The sequence below is a fragment of the Homo sapiens genome, chromosome 14 (assembly GCF_000001405.40).
Source record: "Homo sapiens chromosome 14, GRCh38.p14 Primary Assembly".
NCBI lineage: Eukaryota > Metazoa > Chordata > Mammalia > Primates > Hominidae > Homo > Homo sapiens.
Genome location: NC_000014.9, coordinates 69,473,963 through 69,498,903, shown reverse-complemented (window position 1 = coordinate 69,498,903; position 24,941 = coordinate 69,473,963). Strand labels below are relative to the sequence as shown.

At 50.4% G+C, this 24,941-nt stretch overlaps 1 protein-coding gene across 2 annotated transcripts in view; it reads right to left on the bottom strand.

Moving 5' to 3' along the window:
* The window catches only part of PLEKHD1 (pleckstrin homology and coiled-coil domain containing D1), a 63,808-nt gene that overhangs the window by 32,648 nt on the left and 6,219 nt on the right, over positions 1-24,941 (bottom strand). The window contains exon 1 of one of the 2 annotated variants that reach the window (NM_001161498.2): positions 13,790-14,176. The exons of the other annotated variant lie outside the window; for it this stretch is intronic. Within the exon in view, the coding sequence (NP_001154970.1) occupies positions 13,790-13,938 (149 nt within the window). The 5' untranslated portion in view covers positions 13,939-14,176. Of the gene's footprint in view, positions 1-13,789; positions 14,177-24,941 lie in introns of those variants that run through there. 2 annotated transcript variants of the gene reach the window in all.

The window sequence follows — 24,941 nt, the reverse complement described above, 5'->3', positions numbered from 1 at the left end:
GGCTGAGGCGGGCGGATCACTTGAGGTCGGGAGATCGAGACCAGCCTGGCCAATATGGTGAAACCCCATCTCTACTAAAAATACAGAAATTAGCTGGGTGTGGTGGCGCACACCTGTAATCCCAGCTACTCAGGAGGCTGAGGCATGAGAATCACTTGAACCCAGGATGCAGAGGTTGCAGTGAGCCAAGATCACGCCACTGCACTCCAGCCTGGGCAACACGAGTGAGACTCCATCTCAAAGAAGAGAAGAGAAGAGAAGAGAAGAGAAGAGAAGAGAAGAGAAGAGAAGAGAAGAGAAGAGAAGAGAAGAGAAAACAAAAAGAAACCTTGCTGGTGAGCATGACGAAGTCAGTGAATCTCTGAAGGTCCTACCAGCCACATGATCTTTCCTAAGGCCACAGCTGCTATGCGGAGGCAGGCCTGGGACTACTGGCAGCTGCCATCTGAGGAAAGTGAAGCTCAGCTCTGTGCTGTGGTGTGAGCCTCATGTCAACCCATTTTCTTTTCTTTTTCAAAAATAGAAGGCTGGGTGCGATGGCTCACACCTGTAATCCCAGCACTTTGGGAGGCTGAGGCAGGTAGATCACTTGAAGTCAGGAGTTTGAGACAAGCCTGGTGAAAATGGTAAAACTCTGTCTCTACTAAAAATACAAAAATCAGCCAGGTGTGGTGGCTCAGGCCTGTAATCCCAGTTACTCAGGAGGCTGTGGCAGGAGAATCGCTTGAACCCAGGAGGTTGCAGTGAGCAGAGATAACATCATTGCACTCCAACCTGAGTGACAGAGCAAGACTCTCTAAAATAAAATAAAATAAAATAAAATAAAATAAAATAAAATAAAATAAATAAAATAAAATAAAATAAAATAAAACAAAATAAAATAGAAACAGGGTCTTGCTATGTTGCCCAGGCTGGCCTCGAACTCTTGGCCTCAAGTGACCCTCCTGCCTCGGCCTCTCAAAGTGCTGGGATTACAGGCTGAGCCACTGTACTCAGCCCCATTTTCTTTACCTGAACCTACCCTCTCTGACCGGCCACATAACAAACACAGCCCTGTGGCCCCTGCTCAGGGTTGATACCCTACTAAAGCCAATGCTCGTCCTAGGCCTTTCTGCCCCCACTGCGGAAACAGCACATGAATACCACCTGCTGCAGAACCTCAGTGACATTCCAGGCCTGCCAGCACCTGACCTCTTCCCACCTCTCAGCTTTCCTGCCATGTCTGCCCTTCAGCCTCTCTGTCCTCCAGTCAACTGCCGAGCTCACTGTCCCCTGCCTGCTACACTTGCGTGGTCCTGCACATGGAGTTTGTGTGGCTTGGCCTGGAATGCCCTCCCTCTTTCTCTTCAGCCAGCGGGACCCTTCCCACCCTTGGTGACCCACCCAGGCCACACTGATTTCTGGGCTCCTTCTGCACTTGCTAGCAGAGCCTGCACTTGGCACTTAGGCCCACTGCCACATCCCATGTATGCATCTTGCCCCAATGGGGCATCAGGCTCCTGGAGGGCAAGTCCATCCCACTTCAGTCCCATGGGCCCAGGTAGGTGTCCCCTGGCTGTTCCAAGGGAATTTCATAGAGTAGTTAAGAGCATATAGGCTTTGGCATCAGAGAGACCTGACATTTTCCGGCTGGGGTTGGGGGTCCTTCGGCAAGTCAGCTTTCCTTTCTGAGCCTTAGTTTCTCTATCGATAGAATGGGGATAATAACAACTACCTTATGCGGTTATTTTGAGGGTCAAATGAGATTGCGCTCATCACCCCACCAATCTGCGGAGGACTCAGGACAGCGCTGAGTGATGCATTCCATGGTCTGAATACAGTCACTGCAGTAAGCAGCACACGACTGTCTCCAGGGCCACCATCTCCTCTCAATGGCTTTGGAAATGCTACTATGGACTCAATATGTCTCCTCAACGTTCATATGTTCAAGCCCTAACCCCACATGTGACTGTATTTGGAGATAAGGTCTTTAGGAGGTAATTAATGTTAAGGAAGGTCTTAAGGGTAGGGCCCTAATCCAATAGGACTGTGGCCTTATAAGAAGAGCTCTCTTTCCTGGCTGGGTACAGTGGCTCATATCTGTAATCATGACAGTTTGGAAGGCTGAAGCAGGGGGATTACTTGAGCCCAGGAGTTCAAGACCAGCCTGGGCAACATAGCAAGGCCTTGTCTCTACATTAAAAAAAAAAAAAAAAAAAAAATTAGCTGGGCATGGTGGTACATGCCTGTAGTTCTAGCCAGGAGGCTGAGTGAGAGGATCACTTGAGTCCAGGAGTTCAAAGCTGCAGTGAGCCGTGATCACACCACCACTGCACTCCAGGGTGGCCTCCAGCCTGGGTGACAGATCAAGACCCTGTTGCAAAAATAAATAAATCAAACCTCTTTCACCCTCTTTTTCCTCTTCCTCCACCGTGTGGGGACATATTGAGAAGGTGGCCATCTGCAAGCCAGGAACAGGTGCCCTCATCAGAACCTGACCATGTGGGCAACTTGATCTCAGACTCTCAGCCTGCAGAACTGTGACCAAATACACTTCCAGGGTTTAAGCCACCCAGTCTATGGCATTTTGTTATAGTAGCCCAAGCTGACTGAAACAAATAAATACCTTTATGCCTTCCTGTCACTTCTGGAGCCCCACCCACTTAAGGAAAAGCACTGTGCCAGGGCTGGGAAGTGGGTGGGCAGAAGATCATTAGACACATGGCAAGGAGAGCACAGGGCTCTGGGGTCCACCAACCCCCATCCTTCAAGCTGCAGCCTCAGGCAAACTCCCAGCCTTACTAAGCCTCCCTTTCTTCCTCTATAAAATGCGGGTACAAATAACTGTCTCTTAGGGCTGTTATAAAGATTCCTCCATTGATTCAGCAATTACTGAGTTGCCACTGTGTGCCAAGCACTGCTCTAGGTGTTGGAGATACAGTTGTGAACAAGACAGACAAAAATCCCTGTCTCCTTAGAGCTTACACTACTTGCATGTAGTGGGTGTCGGATGACGAATAAATGAGACATAGAGATGTCATGTGCCAGATGCTGACATATGCTATGGAGGAAAATAAAGCAGGTTAGGGGGAATTGGGAGTGGGCATGGGTCCATGTCAAAGAGGGTGGGCAGGGACAGCCTAGTTAAGAAGGTAATCTTTGAGGAGAGGTAAGGTGTTTCCAGCAGAGAAGCTGCAGGTGCAAAGGCCCTGAGGCAGGAAGTGTGCCTAGCTCTCGAGGGAACTGCAAGGCTGCGGCAGTTGGGCCAGATTGCATAGGGCTCTATGGCCATGGTAATGACAATAATGATCAAGCTAACATTTATAGAGTACTTTCCACATACCACACCTCATTCCAAGCAGTTACTGCTATTAATGCACTTAACACCACTCACAATGATGCTATGAGAGAAATGCTCCCTGCATTTTACATGGTCAGAAATGAAGCAGAGAGGAGGCATGACTTGCTGAAGGTCACAGCACTAGTTGGTAGAGGCTGGCTTTTTCTCTGAGTAAGAGAGACAGCCACTGGAAGGCTTTGAGCAGGAGTGACCTGGCTTACATTGCAAAAGTCTCGACCCTGCTGTGTTGAGGGCAGATTGTCAGGGTAAAGGCAGGGAGATTCATTAGGGGATGTTGCCACATATCGTTAGGGGGCAAGAGAGGATCCAGTGGATGGAGGCATGTAAAGTCCTCAGCACTTGCCTGGCACACAGAAAGTGTTCCCTAATGTCATATCCCTTCTTCTCCTCGTGCTTCTGAAGGACAGCATAAAGAGGGGCAGGGGAAGGAAGGTGGATGTTCAGGGTAGTCTTTGCTCTGTGAGGGCCAGAGTTCAGTAGGGATTGTGAAGGGCCCACACATCACACATGCCACACCCGGCCTGGCTGCAGCTGTCCCCAGAATGGCTTGGGTGGAGATGGGGGTCAAGGGAGGGGAGCTAGCATGGACCTGGAGGAGGAGGACGATGGCCTGGCAGGCAGGAATGAGTTCGGCCCAACGGAGGGCTCACCTGGCAAGCAAATTTCTAGGACCCAAAGATCTGGCCTTGCTTATAAACCTGTCTCAGTGACAGCCCTGCTATTTTAGCTGCCCCTTCTCAGCATCTTCTCAACAGGCAGGGGCTCAGAACACCAGTGCCCTGCACAGAGGTACACTTCCTCTTCCCACCCTATTCCAAAGTCCCCTTGTTCCCTGACACTCTCATTCTGACTGCAAGCCAGGGGCCACGTCTTCCCAGGCCCTGCGCAGTTGGTCTGGCTAGAGACGGCCCAAGGGCGAGAGATGGCTGCCCTTTCTGCAGCTGTTCTCATGCATTGGCTTCTGTGCTAAGGGTTCCACATGTATTTGATCCACGTCACAATTGTGGACGGTTGGGCATTTTATTCTCATTTCACAGATGAGGAAACTGAGGCTTAGAGGCAAAACAGTGTATGCAAAGCCATACTCCTAGGGCAGAGGTGGAACTGGGATTGGAACCCATGGTCAATAGTCCCTACACCTACTTCCCACAGCCACTGCCTAAGGAGCTGCTCCATCCAGCTCCTGACCAGGAAACAGATGGGCCAGAGGCTGTAAGTTTCAGGGTTGGGGTAGCCAATGTTAGAGCTCTGCCACTGACTGGCAATGTGACTGGGGCAAGTTACCTAAGGTAGGTAGGTCCCCACCGTGCAACTTGAGGATAATAATAATAATACCTATATAATAATAATAACTATATCTCATAGAGCTGTCAGGATAATGTTCCCCTAAAGACTTAGAACATGGTGGTAAATATTTAATAAATGATTACTTTTATGATTAAAATTATTATTTATTATGATTGGGTTCAGACTCAGTAATAATAAGCTGCACTCTCCCCTGACCTCCTTTTCCATTTGTGCTCACAAGGCTGCTACTGGAGGGAGCTCTTGGCTCCAGCCCAGCTGGCCAGCTCCCTGACCTCCCAACACATGGCTTATCCCTGCATATGCTGCTTCCCCCTGCCCCCCGTGTGAAGCCCATCCCTCCTTCCAGACCCAACATCAATCCTGGGAGAAGCTTTGCCCATCAGCTCTGGCCCTTTTCTGTCCCCATGTGTTGGGGTGAAGCCCGGAGCATTGGGTGAGGTATGGGGCTTGTGTCAACGCTGGCTGTCTCTCTCTCCCATCATAAAGAATAGTATTTTCATTTCCAGATTAAAGAGCATTCGCAGGGTGCCAGGACACTCACCTTGCTAAGAGAGTGGCCAGGGAGAGCCGAGTTAAGAAGGTAATCTTTGAGGAGAGGTAAGGTGTTTCTGGCAGAGGAGCTGCAGGTGCAAAGGCCCTGATGCTAAGTGTTTTATTGACTTTATCTTATTTAAATTTCTCATAACAACTCTAAGAGAAGTTAAATAATATGTCCCAGATCACACAACTCAGAATGGCGGAGCTAGGATAGTTGTGAACGTGCTTGTTTTTTCTATTTCACTAGTGAGGAAACTGAGGCACAGAGGTTTCTCTAGTGAAATAGGAAACTATTTCACTAGAGAGGAAACTGAGGCATAGAGATTAAGCGACTAGTAAGTGGCAAACTCAGAACACGGTTATTTCTGCTGACAAAGCCCAAGTTCTCACCTGCTGTGCTCTGTGATGCCTGGTCCTCCTCATTACATGTGACTGGAATTGTTTCTCTTCCTAGAGCTTATCTCTGCTATCTCTGCAGAGTGACTGCAAGCTGCTGGTCAGCTCAGGTCAGAGAGCATGACTGATTCCCCTGGTACACCAAGCTACTATGCTGGGCCCTGGAGCTTGATGATTTGCTGACCTCAGGGAGCTGATAATCAAAAGCAGGAGAAAGAGTGTAGAAACCAACATACTTTTAAAAATAGCTAATATTGGCCGGGTGTGGTGGCTCACGCCTGTAATCCCAGTACTTTGTGGGACCAAGGCAGAAGGATCATTTCAACCCCGGAGTCCATACCAGCCTGGGCAACACAGGGAGACTGTCTCAACAGAAAATTAAAAAATTAGCTGGGTATGGTAGCTCGTGCCTGTGGTCCTAGCTACTTGGGAGGCTGAGGTAGAAGTATTGCTTGAGACCAGGAGGTCGACGCTACAGTGAGCTGTGATCATGCCACTACCCTCCAGCCTGGGCCACAAAGCCAGACCCTGTCTCAAAAGACCCTAAAAAACAAAAACAAAACACCTAATGTTTATCAAGCTCCTCCTTTGTGCTAGGTGCTAAACACTGTTCTAGTAACAGCATTGTGCTAACTCATTCAACTCCTCACATGAGGTAGGTGAGGAAACTGGGGCATAGAAAAATTAAATAATGCCCCAGATCACATAGCTGGGAATGGGGGAGCTAGGATAGTTGTAAAGCATCAAGAGGATACACCGCAACATTGTAAAGCTCCAGGGTAGGCTTTAACTTTGTAACATACCAGGGAAGTACTCTGCAACATCGTAGCATACCACAGTACACTGTAACTTTACAACACACCAGGAGAGTAGACTGCAACATTGTAATGTGCCACAATATATTGCAACATTGTAAGTTTATATTAGGTATAGGAAGAGTGAAGACCGGGAGGAATCAATGGTTTAGGGGTCCAGCCAAGGGAGCTCCCCAAGATGTGACAACTAAGCAGGGCTTTGAAGAATGAATAGGAGTATCTTGGGAATTTGGAAGGAAATGGAAGTGGGAGAGATCCATTCCAGACAGAGGGAACAGCATAGGCAAAGAATAGTGTGTTCAAAGTTATAAAAATATCTCTGGTATTATTGGCAGAAAGTGCAAAGGGTGGGCAGTGGTGCAGGGGAGGTGCGGTAAGGAGTGAGTTAAGGTCAGAGAGCAGGGACAGAGCGGGGCAGAGTGAGTAGTCCTTGTGAAGACGCTGGACTTCTTCCTGCAGACAAGGGGAGCTGCCAGCAAGTTTCAAACAGGGCACTTATAAGGTCATATTGTAGTTTTAGCCATAGGGAAGTCCACAACCAGGCAAAGGGAAAATTAAATTTATTGGGAGGTACAAATCAGCAAGGCTCATCGAAATGTTAAACAAGGGCAGAGTGAGCAGGAACTGGGATGACACGATGACCAGGACTCTAGCTTGGGTCACAGAGTGGCACAGGTGCCATCCAATATGAATTAGGGAATCCAAGAAGGGTTTTCTCAAGCTTTAGCTTTGTCCCCATCTTCTGCCCCCCTCCCCAGTGCTCTGAATGCAACAAGGGCTCAACCAGAGCTTGATGGTCACCACTGCCTCATGATAAGCCCATCTGGAGCCAAGGAAAATGTTATCTAGAACCACAGGTATCTTCTATGTTGGGCAGGTCCTGTTAAACAAAGGCCTATCCAGTCTCTGTCCACTCAGGTGAGCTCCCTAATGTTTGGAGATGCGAATGCCACTGAGTTTAGGAGTAGGAGCTAGAAAGGGCTTTGCTTAACAGAGTGAAAGAAATTTGAATTTGGGGAAAATCCTGTAGGACAATAGGGAGGAGGAGTGATGGCAGAGTGCAGAGGAGAGAGGATCCTGGGAGGATCCAAGAGTCCAGAGAGAGAGTGATGTCACCATCTCTGGTGACAGCGAGGTGGGGTGCCTACCAGAGACCTAACGCTCAATTTGAAGATGTTTGCAATTCTGTAATTTAAATACCTCCTCTGCCCTCCTCTTTGCCACAGCTTCCCTTCAGGATAGGCTGCTAGACTCATAAATACCTGCTGTGTTTATGCAGCAGTGTGGAAGGCTGGAAAACTGAGGAATAAAAGCTGAGTTCCACCTCTGGTTGTGCAACAAGGACCGTGTACATTGGTCAGCAAATTAATCCATCAACCAAGAAACTAGTTTACAGCCTCTTAGAGATTAACAGAAACCTTGGTACAGATTTTAGACTTCCTTTAGATATGGGATTTGGTCTTGGGACCAAATTTATCTCACTCTCAAGAGAGCAGCAAGAGCCTAGTGGATGTGTGAGTTACACATGAGTTACATTTTCCAGGAAGGCGAACATCCAGCCTGGCTTCTCCCTCTTCCCCGGGCACAAACTTCCAGAATAGGCCCAGCAGCCAGTCTCCCTCCTCTCCGAGCCTCCTGGATACTGAGAATGGCTATGTAGGGGGTGGAACTGGAGAAGGACTGCCCTCAGAAGTGTCCTTTTCAGAACTGGCAGAAGGAAGGTAGAAATGACACAGCCCCAGTGTGTGTCCCTTGTGTCCATTCTGGATGGCCTGGTGTGCTCAGGAAATGCTCATCCTGGCCTGTGCTTCTCATCTGGCATCCAGTCTAAGATGGCAGAACAGCAGGAATTCTATCTGTGAAATGCATGAGTCATGACACATTAGAGTTCAGAGAGATTATCAAGTCCAAGGGGGCTCAAAAAACTTAGTCCCCCTGGAACAAGTATTCCAACAACAGTAAGACAACCGTAATGTGTAAAACAGGAGTCTTCAACCCCTGGGCCCTGGACCAGTACCAGTCCATGGCCTGTTAGGAACTGGGCCACACAGCAGGAGATGAGCAGGTGAAGCTTCATCTGTTTTTACAGCTTCTCCCCGTGGCTGGCATTACCGCCTGAGCTCCGCCTCCTGTCAGATCAGCGGCGGCATTAGATTCTCATAGGAGCACCAACCCTTTTGTAAATTGTGCATGGCAAGGGATCTAGGTTGCACAGTCATTATGAGAATCTAATGCCTGATGAAACCACCCCCACACCCACCCCTGTCCTTGGAAAAATTGTCTTCCATGAAACCAGTCATGGCACCTGGTGCCAAAAACGTTGGGGACTGCTGGTGTAAAACATATAACAGGGGGCTCATGCCTGTAAACCCAGCACTTTGGGAGGCCGAGGCGGGCAGATCACCTGAGGTCAGGAGTTTGAGAACAGCCTAGCCAACATGGCGAAACCCCATCTCTACTCAAAAATACAAAAATTAGCCGGGCATGGTGGTACATGCCTGTGATCCCAGCTAATCGGGAGGCTGAGGTATGAGAATTCCTTGAACCTGGGAGGCAGAGGTTGCAGTGAGCCAAGATCACGACACTGTACTCCAGCCTTGGTGACAGAAGGAGACTCTCTCTCAAACAAACAAACAAACAAACAAACAAAAAATATATATAACAGTGCAGAGGTATTGCTTGAAGTGGGTGGGGAGTCTTGGAGCTGTACCCCTGTTCCCCATTCCCTTGTGGTAGACTCAAGGCACCTCTGGGGTCATTTGTGGCACACAGTTTGACCCATCCCATTCCCACTCTATAGATGAGACACTGCTGGCCAGTGGGGTGAAATGCCACAGCCTGGATCATGCAGCTGGTTACTGGCAGAGCTGGGGCTGGAACTTGGAGCACCTGCCTCTAAGCTTAGATTCACTTTCTTTTTTTTTCCTTTTTTTTTTTTTTTTTTTTTTTGAGATGGAGTATCACTCTGTCCCTCAGGCTGGAGTGCAGTGGCTCAATCTCTGCTCATTGCAACCTCCACCTCCTAGGTTCGAGCGATTCTCCTGCCTCAACCTCCTGAGTAGCTGGGATTACAGGCACCCACCACCATGCCTGGCTAATCTTTGTATTTTTAGTAGAGACAGGGTTTTGCCATGTTGGCCAGGCTGGTCTCCAACTCCTGACCTCAAGTGATCCACCCACCTTGGACTCCCAAAGTGCTGGAATTACCAGCCACCACACCCGGCCTTAGATTCACTTTCTACCATACCCACAGCTGCTCTCAGAAGCAATTACTTTGTTATTTTTAAGTCTTGGGTACAAGGAAGCTGAACTCTCTGCAAGCTGGAGGTCTGACCCATACACAGGTGAGACTCATTTTCAAATAGGACATCAACAGCCATGGAGGGCAGCTCCTCAGGGAGTGGGTGAGAAAGAAATGCCACCTGTTTGCACAATTAACTCACTTAACTTTGGCAGACCTGGTCTGGGTAAATAATCATACGACCCCAGTGACCTGATGTGTATCATTTCATTTATGGCTGGGTGATCCAGAGAGTGTGCCCATCTCCCTAACCCAAGGATTCACTGTAACCTGGATGCTACCAGCACAGAAAGGGAAGAGGGTGATGGGTAGAGGAATCTGAGGAGACTCAGAAAAGGCACCTTCCCCCTGCCTCTGTGCCTCAGTTTCCTATCGTGAGCTTGGGAGAACAGCTCTGGAACAAGGAGCCAGAGAGTGAAAAACACTATGAAATCTTCAGAATAAAGTAATTTGGTCACTTTTTTTTCTGGAGGCAGAGACACTGTTCCCCAAGTCCTTCTTCTTTATCAATGCTGAAAGAGCTCCTCTGCTCTGTCCCCTCCCCAACTTCCCACACACATTAGCAGAAGATCCCTGCCCCTCAACTGCCACCTGGTCACTGTTCCCCACACCCTATGTTGCCACTCTGGTAGAAGTTTGAAGAATAGAAGTTTATTTTTTAAAGGGGGTCCTTCAGGCACCCTCCACAGAGGAAATGTTACAATTCTGCTTGTGGGATACCTCACACAGCCAGCTGAGGGAAATGCCAGGGGTGCCAGAAAGTGAGACCAAACCCCAGGGTCACCAGGGTGAGGCTGAGCCTAGTGCCGTGAAGCTGACATGATAGGCTCTTCTCTCTGCTCTGGGAAAGCTCGGCATTGGTGTCACCTCTGGGAAGCAGTGCTGAGCACCAAAGTCAAAACCCTGGGCTCCAAATCCCTGTGGGAAGAAAGTCTCCTCTAGTCTTTTTGGCATGGTGACCCTCATCTGCACAGATAATCTTTACACACTGTACAGGTTGTGGCCTGAGATTTAGGACACATGGCCACTGTCTCCATGGCTCCACTGGCACCAGGTGGACACAATGAATCTTAGCTCCCTAAGTCAGGGACCCACCGATGCTCTGCAAGAGTAAACTGCGGAGCTCGGTTCAGGCCCTACTGGCTACCCTGCCCCTGGGGAGGAGAAGGGGTGAGGAGGATTATAGATGCTCCTGTTGCAGGAAGGAAGTGGGTGGGTCCTCCTCCTTAGGGGTTCCGGCCTTGGGAAGTGTTCAGCAGGGATTTGGGAGGTGGAATAGAATGCTGGAAAAAGCATTCAATCTCAGGAAAGAATTAGTCTAGGCCAAGCCCTCACAGCATGACACTGGCTGAGGCTGAGATTTCCCACCCCCTTCCTCTTTGTCCTGGCACTGCCCAGGTCTTTGCACTTCCATCTCCACTCACAGACCAAGATGAGGACACAGTCAACAGCCTTCCCTTCTAGACATCTCTCCCAGATTATCTGATCTCTGCTAATTAATGCTTTTGATTCCCTTCCCCTTTTGTTGCCCCCAGGAAATAAGTTGACCCTTCAGCTCAAGGGCACCTTCCCACCCCAGGCAGGCAGGGCTGCTTGGGCGGTGGAAGCTGGAGGCACAGGTCCTAAGACAGACCCTGAGTGGAAAAGGTTTTATAGAACCCAGCTGGCCACAGCCAGTTCTCTCCAGCTTATTCTTTACTAATGCAGTGCTGAGACTTTTCAGGCCCCCTCCCCTTAACTGCTCCAGCCAGGGCATTGATCGCCCTAATGGCAAGGCTCTGCGGTGGCGGCCCTCAGCTGCTCTGTCCCCAAGTCTTCCTGTGGCTGCTAATTAGCTGAGCCCACAGACTCTACTTTACAAATGGGAAGCTGGGGCCCAGGGGGCCCTGATGGGAAGTGAGAGGGGGCTGAGCTGAGCATCTTTCTCCCCCACACCCAGGCCCTCTCTGGCTGGCTCTGTCACTGACCCAAGACTAAATAGCGTGTGTGTGTGTGTGTGTGTGTGTGTGTGTGTGTGTGTGTGTTGTGTATTCCCAGAACTGAGAACACAGAGGCCTAGAATGGGCAGGTGGGATGTTAGTTCTTTCTTGAGCCCCAGGTAGTCTTTGCACAGTGGCAGCTCTGAAATTCCTACAAAGGAAGGGAACCCAGGTAACAATCTCCTTGGAAGGAGGCTAAAGGACTTGACTTTTAGCTGTATTAGCAGAGCATACATACTGCTCAGACTCTGATTGCATCGTTTCGGGTGGCTTTGGGGGCCACGGTAGTGGATGGAGGAGAAGATGGAGTCTCTGGGTGGGGGACACTAAACCTCTCCAAGCCTCCTTGGCACTACCATTGTGCTTTTAGCTGGGGGCCTATGCCCTGTACTCCTGACACTTCCTAGCCCTGGAATCAACTGTAGGTGCAGAGACCAGTTTCCCAATGTACCTGCAGTGGTGAAGGGGAGGACCAGGGGACATACCCTGGGGGTCACAAGCACCTAGCATTTTCTAGGGATGCTGTCAGGTGAAAATGTCTGGCAAGAGAAGTCTTGGTTGACAGGACCCAGAACAGCAGCCAGACCCAATAGAAAAGAAAGATTAACTATCTGGAGCTGCTGAGGCAGAAGAAAGATGGGTGGTGGGGGGAGATATTCTGCTAATTGTGCTTGAATCTACACACAGCCTTTCCACCCCAGCTCTCCTGGCCCTGGGGGCTGTAGCTCACATAGCACAATACTGGAAGCTCCCCAAATACACTCCATGTTGCTCCAAGCCTTCATTTAGGGGGTCAGAGATAAGCTGAACTTTGGAGGAACTCAAGAAGCCTGTATCCCATTAAATCCCAGAGAGAAACCTGTCAGAAGCAACAAAACAACATGAAACCAGAGATATAAAATGTGAGCTACTGTCCACAGCTCCATTTGTTCTGCGGTCTTATAGAAACATTAAATTATTCATCAGAACAGAACATCAGCACCCACCACTACCACATCCACATGATCTGTGGTCCTGGGAACATTGGAGGCCCCCTCTGCTCAGGGGCAGACTCATAGAGTGTGGGATGGGGAAGGGGCATCTGGATACCCCTGGTTTCCTGGAAGGGTCACACCTCCGCGGAAGGGCTGGACAGGGTCTGCATTCTCCAGGCCATACCAGTAGTGAATCTCAGAACTGAAATTGACTGGAGAGTGGAAACTGTCCAGAAAATGGCCCACAGCACCTGCAGCCAGTTGGGAGCTTCCTGCAAGTCCAGGGCTGTGAACTCCCTCTTCCCTCAATACCTCCCAGGCTAATTTGTAAGTGGAGAGTGGCTACCGATGTCCGCGGAGTCGCGTCTGAGTTGGGGACCAGGCAGCTGGGGCTGAAGGATGGTTGGGACTACCCTGTCTCTCTCCACCACCCCTTTCAGAGGATCAATCCTTGGCAGAACCAATCTATCCCCTCCTTCACTCCAGCTGCCTCCCTCCTTTCCAGCTCCTCCGTCTGAAGCACTAGAATCTCTCTTCCCTGTGCTCACTTTTAAAAAAATTATTTCAAGGGACAGTTGGAGGGGTTGCCAAGGTCACTTCCCCATGGACAAGCACCCTTCCTGGCCCTTCCTCCCTCCTTAGCCTGAGCCTTTCAGAAGGGCCAGGTCCCTCTCCGTCTTAAGGGTGGGTGGTTGGCGGGAGGGAGACACTCAGGCCCGGTCCTCGCGGCCTGGGTCAGGGGTTGTGAAGACGATGGAATTGACAGTGGGGGTCCCGGGGTTGGGGGCATCTTTGGCTAGAGATGGAGTTTCTGCCTCCCCTCAGTCTGGCCTGATCTGACCTAGCTGGGATCCCACCCCGACCACGGTCTCTTCTGCCCACACCCAACATTCCCACTCGAGGGTCAGGTTCATTCCATAGAGAATTTGCCACCGCCCCAGGGCAGGGGCCCCATCTCCATTCTCCCGGCCCAGACTATGGTCCACATTTTCCTGCGGGAGCCAGTGTAGAGTGAAAAGGGGTGACGCCAAGGTCACACAGGAAAGCAGAGGCACGACGGCGACTGGAGGGGGTGGGAGGGGTAACGACGCCCAGGCTCTCTCCCCGGCGGTCTCCTTGGGGCGCGGGGGCGCACTCACCGCCGGGACCACTTGGCCGACGGCCTGCCGAAAGGCCTCTTCCACAGCACGCCGTAGAGCTGCACTTTGGTGCTGATATCCAGGGCGTCCGAGTCAGCCTGCTCCAGGGACGGCGAGGGCGACACCGAGTTGGACTTGGACGTGAACATCCTGCCTCAGCGGGGCTGTGCCCGGCCCGGACCCCACCTCCCCGGGGTCAGCAGGGACTCGGGGCGAGAGGCGAGGGCGGAGCCGTCGGAGAGCGTCCCAGCGAGCAGAGAAGCAGAGCGGCCCGGCCCGGAGCTGCAGCATCAAAGCGCGCTGGGCACTGGACGCGGCACCAAGGGGGCGCAGGGCGCGTAGCCGGCGGCTTGGGCTCCGGATTGCAGAGGGCCGGGCGGGAACTCCGCGGGGAGGGTGGCTCAGCCTCGGGCCGGCAGCATCTCCTCCCCTCCCGCCCTAGCCACCCACCCCCCCGGCGACAGCCCCAATTCTGGTGGCCCCGATTGGCTGGGAGTGGCAGGTGAGCCGGCGGGAGGCCGGCCTCGGGCGCCAATCAGGGCGGGCGCCGGCTGGAGGGCCGGGCTCCGTGCGTCCAGAAGGTCCCTGCGGGTCGCAGGGCCCGGGGACTTGGCCGCAGCGCGTCCCCGTCCCCGCCCCGCGCGCCCAACACCACCCCGGGGTCCCTCTCGGCGAGCAGCGCCGACATCGAGACGAGGGCCACGTCCGCTTTGCAATGGGGTTGGAGGCACTCCTGCAGACACCTGCTCGCCTCGGGGTGGAGGAGAGGACGGAGCTAGGGCGTAGGGTCACACACTCCGGCCTGGAATTCCACCGCAATTCCTACCGCTCCGTGAACTGCGGCGGTCTGGCTTTTCTCCCCAGTGAAGTGGCGATGCCTGATGCCCCGGGCAGGCGGGTGGCCAGGTAGGACTTCAGGAAGTGCCCAAAGTGCCCGCATGGGGAGGGGCTCCATCAAGATTGGGTTCCCCCCAACCCTTCCCCCTCAGGTGGGTTTCACTGTGCTCCGCCGCCGCCGCCTAGCGCGCATCGGATCGGATTTCTCTTCCTGGAACCTGACCGTGTCTGTGTCGGCATTTGGCACTCAACGCCAGTCTGGAGCTATCCGTGCAGTGTGTGTCCGTGATTTATCTGCGCGCCTGGCCCGCGCTCCCTGGGACCAGCTGTTCCATCCGCTTCCGCTCCTTTCGGAGTTGGCGTTTGGGGTGACCGGCTCATTTTCAGGCCAGGGAGATGCCGGCCGGGCCCCAGGGGACCGCCTCCTCCCGGCAGGTGGAAATGCTAGGCTGGCACAGCTGCCTGCCCCGCGCCACCTGCCAGGCGTGGAGACCGCGCAGTGAGCGGCCGCCCGCCAGACCACGCCGCAGTCGCGCTTTTCCAAGATGAGGAGCCAAGGACGCCTCTGGAAGTCGGATTGCAACAGAAGTTTACAAATGGTTAGCCCGAGAGCCAGATCCACATTGCTTTATGAATTTGCCCCAAGTTTTTAAATTGAGGTATACTTCATGGTAAAATGCACACATCTAAGTTATTTCTTTGATGAAGGTATATAAGATGTAACCCCACCCAAAGCAACAGACAGAACATTTCCATCACCTGCAGAAAGTTTCTTCATGCCCCTTTATAGTCAATCAGCCCCCCAACAACAACCACTTGTATCATTCTTACCACCTCTGCACAGTAGACTTAAGTCTTTGAATGTAATGCCTAAAGGCGCATCCCCACAGGCCCCATCATCCCCTATTGTCTGACCTGCCTGGCCCCTCTGCAGGCATTTGGATGTGTGACGCCCACTAGATGTTCCCCAAGGCCATGCTAGATCTCCCCATTTTATGACTCTAGCTAATCATCACCCTGGTACTCTTCCCTTAACCCCCTCTGGGGTTCCCAAGCTCAGACAGCATCCCCTTGTTGCTCACTGTCAAGAAGTGCCCATCTGAATTCCTTGCACTTCTCTCATGGCTCAGGCCCCCATGCAGAACATCTCAGGCCAAGCCTTAACACAGGGCCCGGGGCTTGGCTCCATCAGGTGGGAGGAGGTGGGACTGGGAAGATGATGAGAGCCCGGGGCCAGAGTACAAAGTGGACATTTTCTGTATATTTTTTGTCTATTTCTGACACATGGTCTAATGCTTGGAAATCTTCCCACTTTAGGAGCCCTGCTTTTCTTTTCTTTCTTTTTTCTTTCTTTCTTTTTTTCTTTCTTTCTTTTTTTTTTTTTAGAGAGATGGGGGTCTCATTATGTTGCCCAGGCTGGTCTTGAATTCCTGGCCACAAGTGATCTTCCCACCTCAGCCTCCCAAAATGCTGGGATTACAGGTGTCCTGCTTTTCTAAGATGAAAGCTAGAAAACTTGTGTTAGGAGCCTGTGGTCTGGAGTTCACCAGTCAAGGGCCCCTGACTTTGAGTTGCAGGTAACAAATGTGAGGAAAAAGCATACACAGGCTTGCACTTTTCAAGGGAACATGGTGGCACATGCATCTGACGTGCCTTGGGTGACAGCTGTGTGCTCCTGGGGTGGCAGCAGCATGTGTGGTGGGTACCACAGCAGTCATGGGGAGGTGGGCTCCTAGTAGTGCACAAACAGCAGCAGCAAGAACTCAGGGGCAGCTGCAGCATTCTCATCCAACAGCTTCTGCAGCACTTCTTAGATATGGTTCCTGGAAGCTTTGCCTCAGGCCTGGCTCCCTGGCTCTCCCAATATCCTTTTAGTACATTCATTTCTTTTCTGCTGAGTCAGGTCAGTTGCAGCTTATGGCTGCTGGTGATGAGGACTAGTGGTGAGTTTGTGAGCCATGTGGGCCAGAGAAAGGCAGGATACCTGCAATCATTCAAAAGAAGTCCTGCACGGTAGGGCCCAGTGAGCCCAGATAATCCTGGGGAAGGCTGATTCCTTCAATAAGAGAAGTGAAGCACAGGTTTCTTCAATGACAAAGAGCAACCAATCTTTACCTATTCCCTCTGCATACAGGACGTATGAATAGACCTCAGATAATAGCAGTTAAGGCTGGGTGAAAGGAAGGCTCTGAGGCAAACAGCTGGAGTTTGATCAACCACTAGATACTTGAGTGGTTTCTGTTCCCCTTGACTAACCAGCCCAGACTGCACCAGGTCAGCCTTGGGAGAAGCTGTTTCTGCTTCCATTGTGTTCTCTACCTCAGCTGGTAGGCGTGCTGAAATCCTGGCTGAGTTCTACAGAAGACAGAACAAGCCAGGTGCCAATCCTGTGCGCTAGACCAAGTGGGTCAGGGCCGCCCAATCTTGCCAGGAAGTAAGTGAGACCAGTCAGGGGTGAAAACTCAGGATCCCTAAGTGCCCTACACTGCTCAGACACAGAGCTGATGTTCTAATACATTATTTACAACAGACACATTTCATTTAATTTTTACTATAGACCTATGAGGTACATACATATTATTTTTAGTTTTCCAGATGAGAAAAATAAAGTTCAAAAGCGTTGTCTACGTAAGTCACATAGCTAGTAATTTCCCAGAACATGATATAGGTCCTAAATATGTGTTGAATGAGGGAAAGTGACAAGCTGAAGTTTGGCCTGAGTCCTTAGCCCTTCCCCTTCACCTTGCAGCACACTGTCATGTGAAGTGAAGTGCAGTCTAGGAAATACTAGACCACTTTCAGTCTTTCCTCTCTTTTCAGGAATTTTTCTCAATTGCCAACTCACCTAGGGCTCAATTTCCTGTAGAACTGACAAAGCAATTCTACGAGTGCTACAGAATTTTAGCTGTGCTCAGGGATAGACTCCTAATGAACATATTTTTTTGTTGTTGTTGTTAGAGACAGGGTATCACTCTGACCCAGGCTGGAGTACAGTGGCGTGATCATAGCTCACTGCAGCCTCGACCTCCTGAGCTCAGGTGATCCTCCCATCTCAGCCTCCTGAGTAGCTGGGACTACAGATGCACGCCACCACATCCTGCTATTTTTTATTTATTTATTTATTTTAAGAGATGAGGTCTCACTATCTTGCCCAGGCTTGAACATACATTTTTATAATATTGTTTTATCCGTAGTCTGCAGGCAGATGTGATAGTCCCCACTTTTCCATAAAACAAATATTAGCATGGCCATTTTAAGTGACTAGCCCATGGTAAGGAAATGTGTGAATACCGTAGGGAATCCATCTCTTCAATCTTATATTTCAGGCTGCGCGTGGTGGCCCATGCCTGTAATTCCAACATTTTGGGAGGCCGAGATGGGTGGATCACTTCAGGTCAGGAGTTTGAGACCAGCCTGGCCAACATGGCGAAACTCCATCTCTGCTGAAAATACAGAAATTAGCCAGGCATAGTGGCGCATGCCTGTAATCCCAGCTATTCAGGAGGCTGAGGCAGGTGACTTGCTTGAGCCTGGGAGGCAGAGGTTGCAGTAAGCCAAGATTGTGCCATTGCACTCCAGCCTGGGAGACAAGAGCAAGACTCTGTCTCAAAAAAGAAAAAAAAAAATCTTATACACAAGGGTATTATTTAGCCCACTAAAACCAGGAATGGGCAGGAAACATTGCCTAATAGAAAATGGTGACAGAGGTCACCTGGAGTCATCGTTATTGGACTACCATGAGCCACAGAAGCTCCCAGCAACCTGGACAAAAGTGGCTCTTCCCATAGTGCCAACTCCTCAGCTCCCTGCCCCTCTGTCCCTGACCCCACCCTCAGGCAGGCCACGTCGTGTCTACTTGTTTCCAGGCTTGTGCCAAGTGAAGGACCCAGGAATGCTGCGACTCTGGCTTCAGCACCGGCATCTGTCTGTCAGCTGGGCCCAGCCCAAGTATCCCTGAGGGGCCAAGAAGCAGAAGAGGCAGAAAGACCTGAGCTCCAGGCCAGGCCCTGCTGCAGCACCAAGTGTCATCCATGGAACCCCTTTCCCTCCTCCAAGCCTCCTTCCACCATTCAGGCTCCTGCCCTAGATTGCACAAGGCTGTGGCACCGATTTCAGCTGAAACCATACCCTCCTCTGTCTTCCCGTGGATCTTTGTCCATCGCCCATTCTAACACACGTCTGTCTGCCTTGTTTGGAGTTTTTCTGTATGTGTTTTCTTCCCTTTCAAACTTGGAGGTCCTTGAAGACATAGTCCAGGGCATGTGGTGGGTGCTCAGCAAATGCTTACTGAATCGGTTTGTCCTCGCTTAGCCTCTGTTCAGGTGCTGCCATTTCCTGTTTCAATTTGCCAAACAAATGGAGACTGACCTATCAGGTCCTCAACTTCCCCTCCTCTATAAAATAGTCTGTGTGTGTGGCGGGGGGGTTGGGAACGTATGTGAAAGCAATCTCTAGATGGCAGATTGGTCACCTGCTTCTAGTGTTAACATAAGTTTAAGTCCAGGCTCTGCCACCAGCTGTATGAACTAAAGACAATCACTGGGCTTCTCTGGGCTTTCGTGTTCTGAAGGAACTCCTCCTTCCACTCTCAACTTGCTTCATGTCCAACTTTTTTTGTTATTATTATTATTTTTTTAGAGATGGGGTCTTCCTATGTTGCCCAGGCTGGCCTCTAACTCCTAGGCTCAAGCGATCCTCCTGCTCTGGCCTCCGGAGTAGCTGGGACCACAGGTCCACACCACCATGCCTGGCTCATATTCACCTTTCTCACTAGGACTGTGCAATACCATTTTCTGGTGACTCTTCCCACCAACAGCTGACTCCCTAAATAATCCAGCTCCCCACCATCATGCGTGCTCTTTTCAAGGCCCCAAGCTGATCCTGTAAGTCTCTTGTGTAAAGCCCTCTGCTGGGTCCCATTCCCTTGACCCCAGCTCCTACCTCCTGACTTTGGCTCTAACACTGATACGGTTTGGCTGTGTCCCCACCCAAATATTATATTGAATTCCCATGTGTTGTGGGAGAGTACTAGTGGGAGGTAGTTGAATCATGGAGGAAGGTCTTTCCAGTGCTGTTCTCATGATAGTGAATAAGTCTCACCAGATCTGATGGTTTTAAAAAGGGGAGTTTCCCTGCACGAGCTCTCTTCTCTCATCTGTCACCACGTGAGACATGCCTTTCACCTTCTACCATGATTGTGAGGTCTCCCCAGCCACATGGAACTGTAAGTCCAATAAACCTCTTTCTTTTGTAAATTGCCCAGTCTCAGGTATGTCTTTATCAGCGACGTAAAACCAGGCTAATACAAACACCCTTCACAGTCTAGTCCCTGGCCCTGTCCGCACTCAAAAGTTTGTACCAGTAGAGTAGGGTGCTGCTGAAAAGTTACCCAAAAATGTGGAAGTGACTTTGGAACTGGGTAACAGACAGAGGTTGGAACGGTTTGGAGGGCTCAGAAGAAGACAGGAAAATGTGGGAAAGTTTGGAAGTTCCTAGAAATTTGTTGAATGGCTTTGGCAAAAATGCTGATAGTGATATGAACAATAAGGTCCAGGCTGAGGTGGTCTCAGATGGAGATGAGGAACTTGTTGGGAACTGGAGCAAAGGTGACTCTTGTTATATTTTAATAAAGAAACTGGTAGCATTTTGCCCCTGCCCTAGAGATTTGTGGAACTTTGAACTTGAGAGAGAAGATTTAGGGTATCTGGTGGAAGAAATCTCTAAGTAGCAAAGCATTCAAGAGGTGACTTGGGTGCTGTTAAAGACATTCAGTTCTGTAAAGGAAGCAGAACATGAAAGTTCAGAAAATTTGCAGCCTGATAATGTGATAGAAAAGAAAATCCAAGCCAGCTATGGAGATTTGCATAAGTAATGAGGAGCCAAATGTTAATCCCCAAGACAATGGGGAAAATGTCTCCAGGGCATGTCAGAGGTCTTCACAGCAGCCCCTCCCATCACAAGCCCAGAGGCCTAGGAGGAAAAAGTGGTTTCATGGGCCGGTCCCAGGGTCTCCTGTGTGCAGCCTAGGGACTTGGTGCCCTGCATCCCAGCCACTCCAGCCAGGGCTGAAAGGGGACAACGTAGAGCTTGGGCCATGGCTTCAGAGGGCACAAGCCTCAGGCCTTGGCAACTTCCACATGGTGTTGAGCCTGCAAGTGCAGAGAAGTCAAGAATTGAGGTTTGGGAGCCTCTGCCTACATTTCAGATGTATGGAAACACCTGGATGCCCAGGCAGAAGTTTGCTGCAGGGGCAGGGTTCTCATGGAGAATTTCTGCTAGGGCAGTGCAGAAGGGAAATGTGGGGCAGGAACCCCCACATAGAGTCCCTACTGGGACATTGCCTAGTGGAGCTGTGAGAAGAGGGTCAGACCCCAGAATGGTAGATCCACTGACAGCTTGCACCATGCACCAGGAAAAGCTTCAGATACTCAACACCAGCCAGTGAAGGCAGCCAGGAGGGGGGCTGTACCCTGCAGAGCCACAGGGGCGGAGCTGCCTAAGACTATGGGAACCTACCTCTTGCATCAGTGTGACCTGGATGCGAGACATGGAGTCAAAGGAGATCGTTTTGGAGCTCTAAGATTTGACTGCCCTGCTGGATTTCAGATTTGCCTGGGGCCTGTAGCCACTTTGTTTTGGCCAATTTCTCCCATTTGGAATGGCTGTATTTACCCAATGCTTGTACCCCCATAGTATCTAGGAAATAACTAACCTGCTTTTGATTTTACAGGCTCATAAGTGGAAGGGACTTGCCTTGTCTCAGATGAGATTTTGGACTGTGGACTTCTGAGTTAATGCGGAAATGAGTTAAGACCTGGGGGACTGTTGGGAAGGCATGTTTGGTTTTGAAATGTGAGTACATGAGATTTGGGAGGGGCCAGGGGCAGAATGATATGGTTTGGCTGTGTCTCCACCCAAATCTCATCTTGAATTCCCATGTGTTGCAGGAGCAAGCCAGTGGGAGGTAGTTGAATCATGGGGGTGGGTCTTTCCTGTGCTGTTCTCGTGATAGTGAATAAGTCTCATCAGATCTGATGATTTAAAAAGGGCCAGCCTGACCAATGTGGTGAAACCCCATCTCTACTAAAAATCCAAAAATTAGCCAGGCTGTGGTGGCACATGCCTGTAATCCTAGCTACTTAGGAGGCTGAGGCGGGAGAATTGCTTGAACCTGGGAGGCAGAGGTTGCAGTGAGCTGAGACTGTGCCACTGCACTCCAGCCTGGGTGACACCAGAGGGAGACATTGTCTCTAAATAAATAAATAAATAAATAAATAAATAAAATAAAGGGGAGTTTCCCCGCCCAAGCCCTCTTCTCTTGTCTGCTGCCATATGAGACATGCCTTTCACCTTCCGCCATGATTGTGAGGCTTCCCCAGCCGCATGGAACTGTAAGTCCAATAAACCTCTTTCTTTTGTAAATTGCCCAGTCTCAGGTATGGCTTTATCAGCAGCGTGAAAACAGACTAATACAAATACCCTTCACAGTCTAGTCCCTGGCCCCTGTCCGCGCTCACTCACAGTCATTCCCCTGGCCCTCTGCTCCAGCCACGCTGGTTCTGCTAGCCTGGGAAGGTCCCATGCTCTTCACATCTTCTCACTTGCTGTCTCCTCAGTCTACAATGCTTCTCTTATTCCCAAAATCCCTCTTCAACATTCAGCCCAAAGACTTCTTTAGTGATGTCTTTTAGTTTTCTTTTAAAACATTATTATTATTATTTTAAGAGATAGGGTTGCTCAGGCTAGAGTGCAGTGATGCCATCATAGTTCACTGAGCCTGGAACTCCTGAGCTCAAGCAATCCTCTCTCCTCGGCCTCCCAAGTAGCTGGGATTACAGGTACATGCCAAAACGTCTAACTAATAAACTTTTTTTTTTTTTTGAAATAGGGCCTAGGGATCTTGCTATGTTGGCCATGCTAGCGTTGAACTACTGGGCTCGAAAGATCCTCCTGTTGCTGGGATTACAGGCATGATCCATTGCACCCAGCAGTGATGCCATTTTTTTTTTTTTTTTTTTTTGAGACAGAGTCTCACTCTGTCACCCAGGCTGGAATGCAGTGCCTCGATCTCGGCTCACTGCAACTTCCACCTCCTGGGTTCAGGGGATTCTCATGCCTCAGCCTCTGGAATAGTTGGGATTACAGGCACACACCACCACATGCAGCTAATTTTTGTATTTTTAGTAGAGACAGGATTTTGCCATGTTGGCCAGGCTGGTCTCGAACTCCTGACCTCAAGTGATCCACCTGCCTCGGCTCCCCAAAACGCTGGGATTATAGGCGTGAGCCATTCCACCCGGCAGTGATGCCTTTTCTGATGCCACTTCCTCCTCCCCTTGGTTGAATTATATTCCTATTTTGATTGTATTTCCTAAGGCCACGATGGGCCTTGGGCTCCTCTACCTGCGCAGGACTGGGTTTCCCCCAGGGCAACCCAGGAGAGAGTTGAGGTGGGGCACAAGGTACCACATGAAGGTGCAAAGCCAGTAGGCCAAAGGACTATGGGGGAGGGAGAGCCACAAGGGTGTGTGGGCACAGAAGACTAGTTGACCCATCTCTGGGTGCGCTGGGGAGTAGGGTCCCCCGGGGCCCCTGTGGGAAGCCTCACTTGCGGGGAAGCACAGCCTGAAGCCACATAAGCAGGCCCCCGCTTCAAAGTCTCTCTCCACTTGAGCTCCCTGGCACTAGACTAGATGGGCTGTGTTCTCATCAGCAGGGCCAGCCTCTTGCTAGGCTTCTACCCCACCCCACCCTCTCACTGCCCAGTAATCACTCACACCCAATGTTGCCAATGCAGAAGCGTTTTTGGGAGTGGCTGGAAAACCATGCCACCCTGTCAGCCTGCCAGCTACTCTACCGCACTAACATTAGCTCTTGGTACCCACCGGCATCGCTGTGGGCAGCACACTCAGCAGACACCCTGAAGGTATTCAGTGCTCCCTCTTGTGGGTGATGCATGAATTAGAATATACATTAATTTGGCTTCTAAGAGCAAGTATATTTTGGGAATGGTAAGAGGCAGATATGTTGAGTCTGGCCAATAAGCCCATAGCCATTTATTGCTATGATCTCACACACTCTCCCAGAACATCTAAGGGAAAGCCAAGATGCTGGCCCCTCATCTAGAACAGAATTAGCAGTTCACTGGACTAGGAGCCAAAGGCTGGTCACCAGCGTTAGCTCCATCTTTACTCAATGAGAAGACTTTGGTCAAGTTACTTTAAAACACTCTTGTCTTCATATATCAAAAGGGAGCTAACCAGGAACAGTGGCTCATACCTATAATCCCAGAGCGTTGGGAGGCTGAGGTGGGAGGATCAACTGAGCCCAGGAACTCGAGGTCACATTGAGCTGTGATTACACCACCACACTCCAGCCTGGATGACAGAACGAGATCTCCAATCTCTTTTTAAAAAAAGAAGGGGGTGACCAGGACATCTAACTCTCTGCATCATACTTTCTTGGAATTTTTTTTCCAGGTTCAATAGCATGTTCTTTTCTGGCTTTGTTACTAAACTGAATTTGCATCCGCACACCCGGTGGAGCAAAGCCAAACACGGCCATGGGGATTGCAGTCAGAGAAAGTGAGGCATTTATTGCAGGGTGCCAAGGAAGGAGAATCTGGCAGTTTATACTTCAGACCAGAACTCCCAAACAGCTTACAGGCAAGACTTTCTAAAGGCAGAGGTTACAAGCAAAGTCATAAGCCATAAATTAATACAATGGAGGCTATACGTTGGTTTGACCTAAAAAGGTGGACATCTCAAGGCGGGTGGGGCACAGGTCACAGGTGAATTCACAAAGATTTTCTGATTTGCATTTGGTAAAGGAGGCAAAACTTTGTCTAAAAATTCGGAGTTAGCAGAAAAGAATGTTAGCTCTGGCCCATGGTCGCGAACCGGTGGTCAGAGTTCAGCCCTCATTTCCCCCTATCTGAGGTCTATGTGCCAGCAGATCATTTGGTGGGGGTCTGGGTTTCTGGAAAGCAACTCAGGAAAATATGGTAAGATATTATCTTTAGTTTCTAAAGGGAACCAAACTTTCTGAGACTCTAACTTCCTTGGTTATTGTTTTAGGCTGCTTTTGCCTTCTTGCTTATGAAATTGCTCGCCCACTTCTCAGGGCTAGCTAGGTGCCTGGAATTTCCCTTGAAGGAACTCAGATTTTCCTTTATTTCCTTGATGAGTGGGTGGGGAGGGTGCCTGGCAGGCTCCTAAGAGGAGTCCCCGCTCCTCTCAGTTTGTCAAGTACTGAGCAGGGCGAAGGCAGGGACAGATGAAAATACAATATAGGTTCTACTGCCATTCCCACCCTC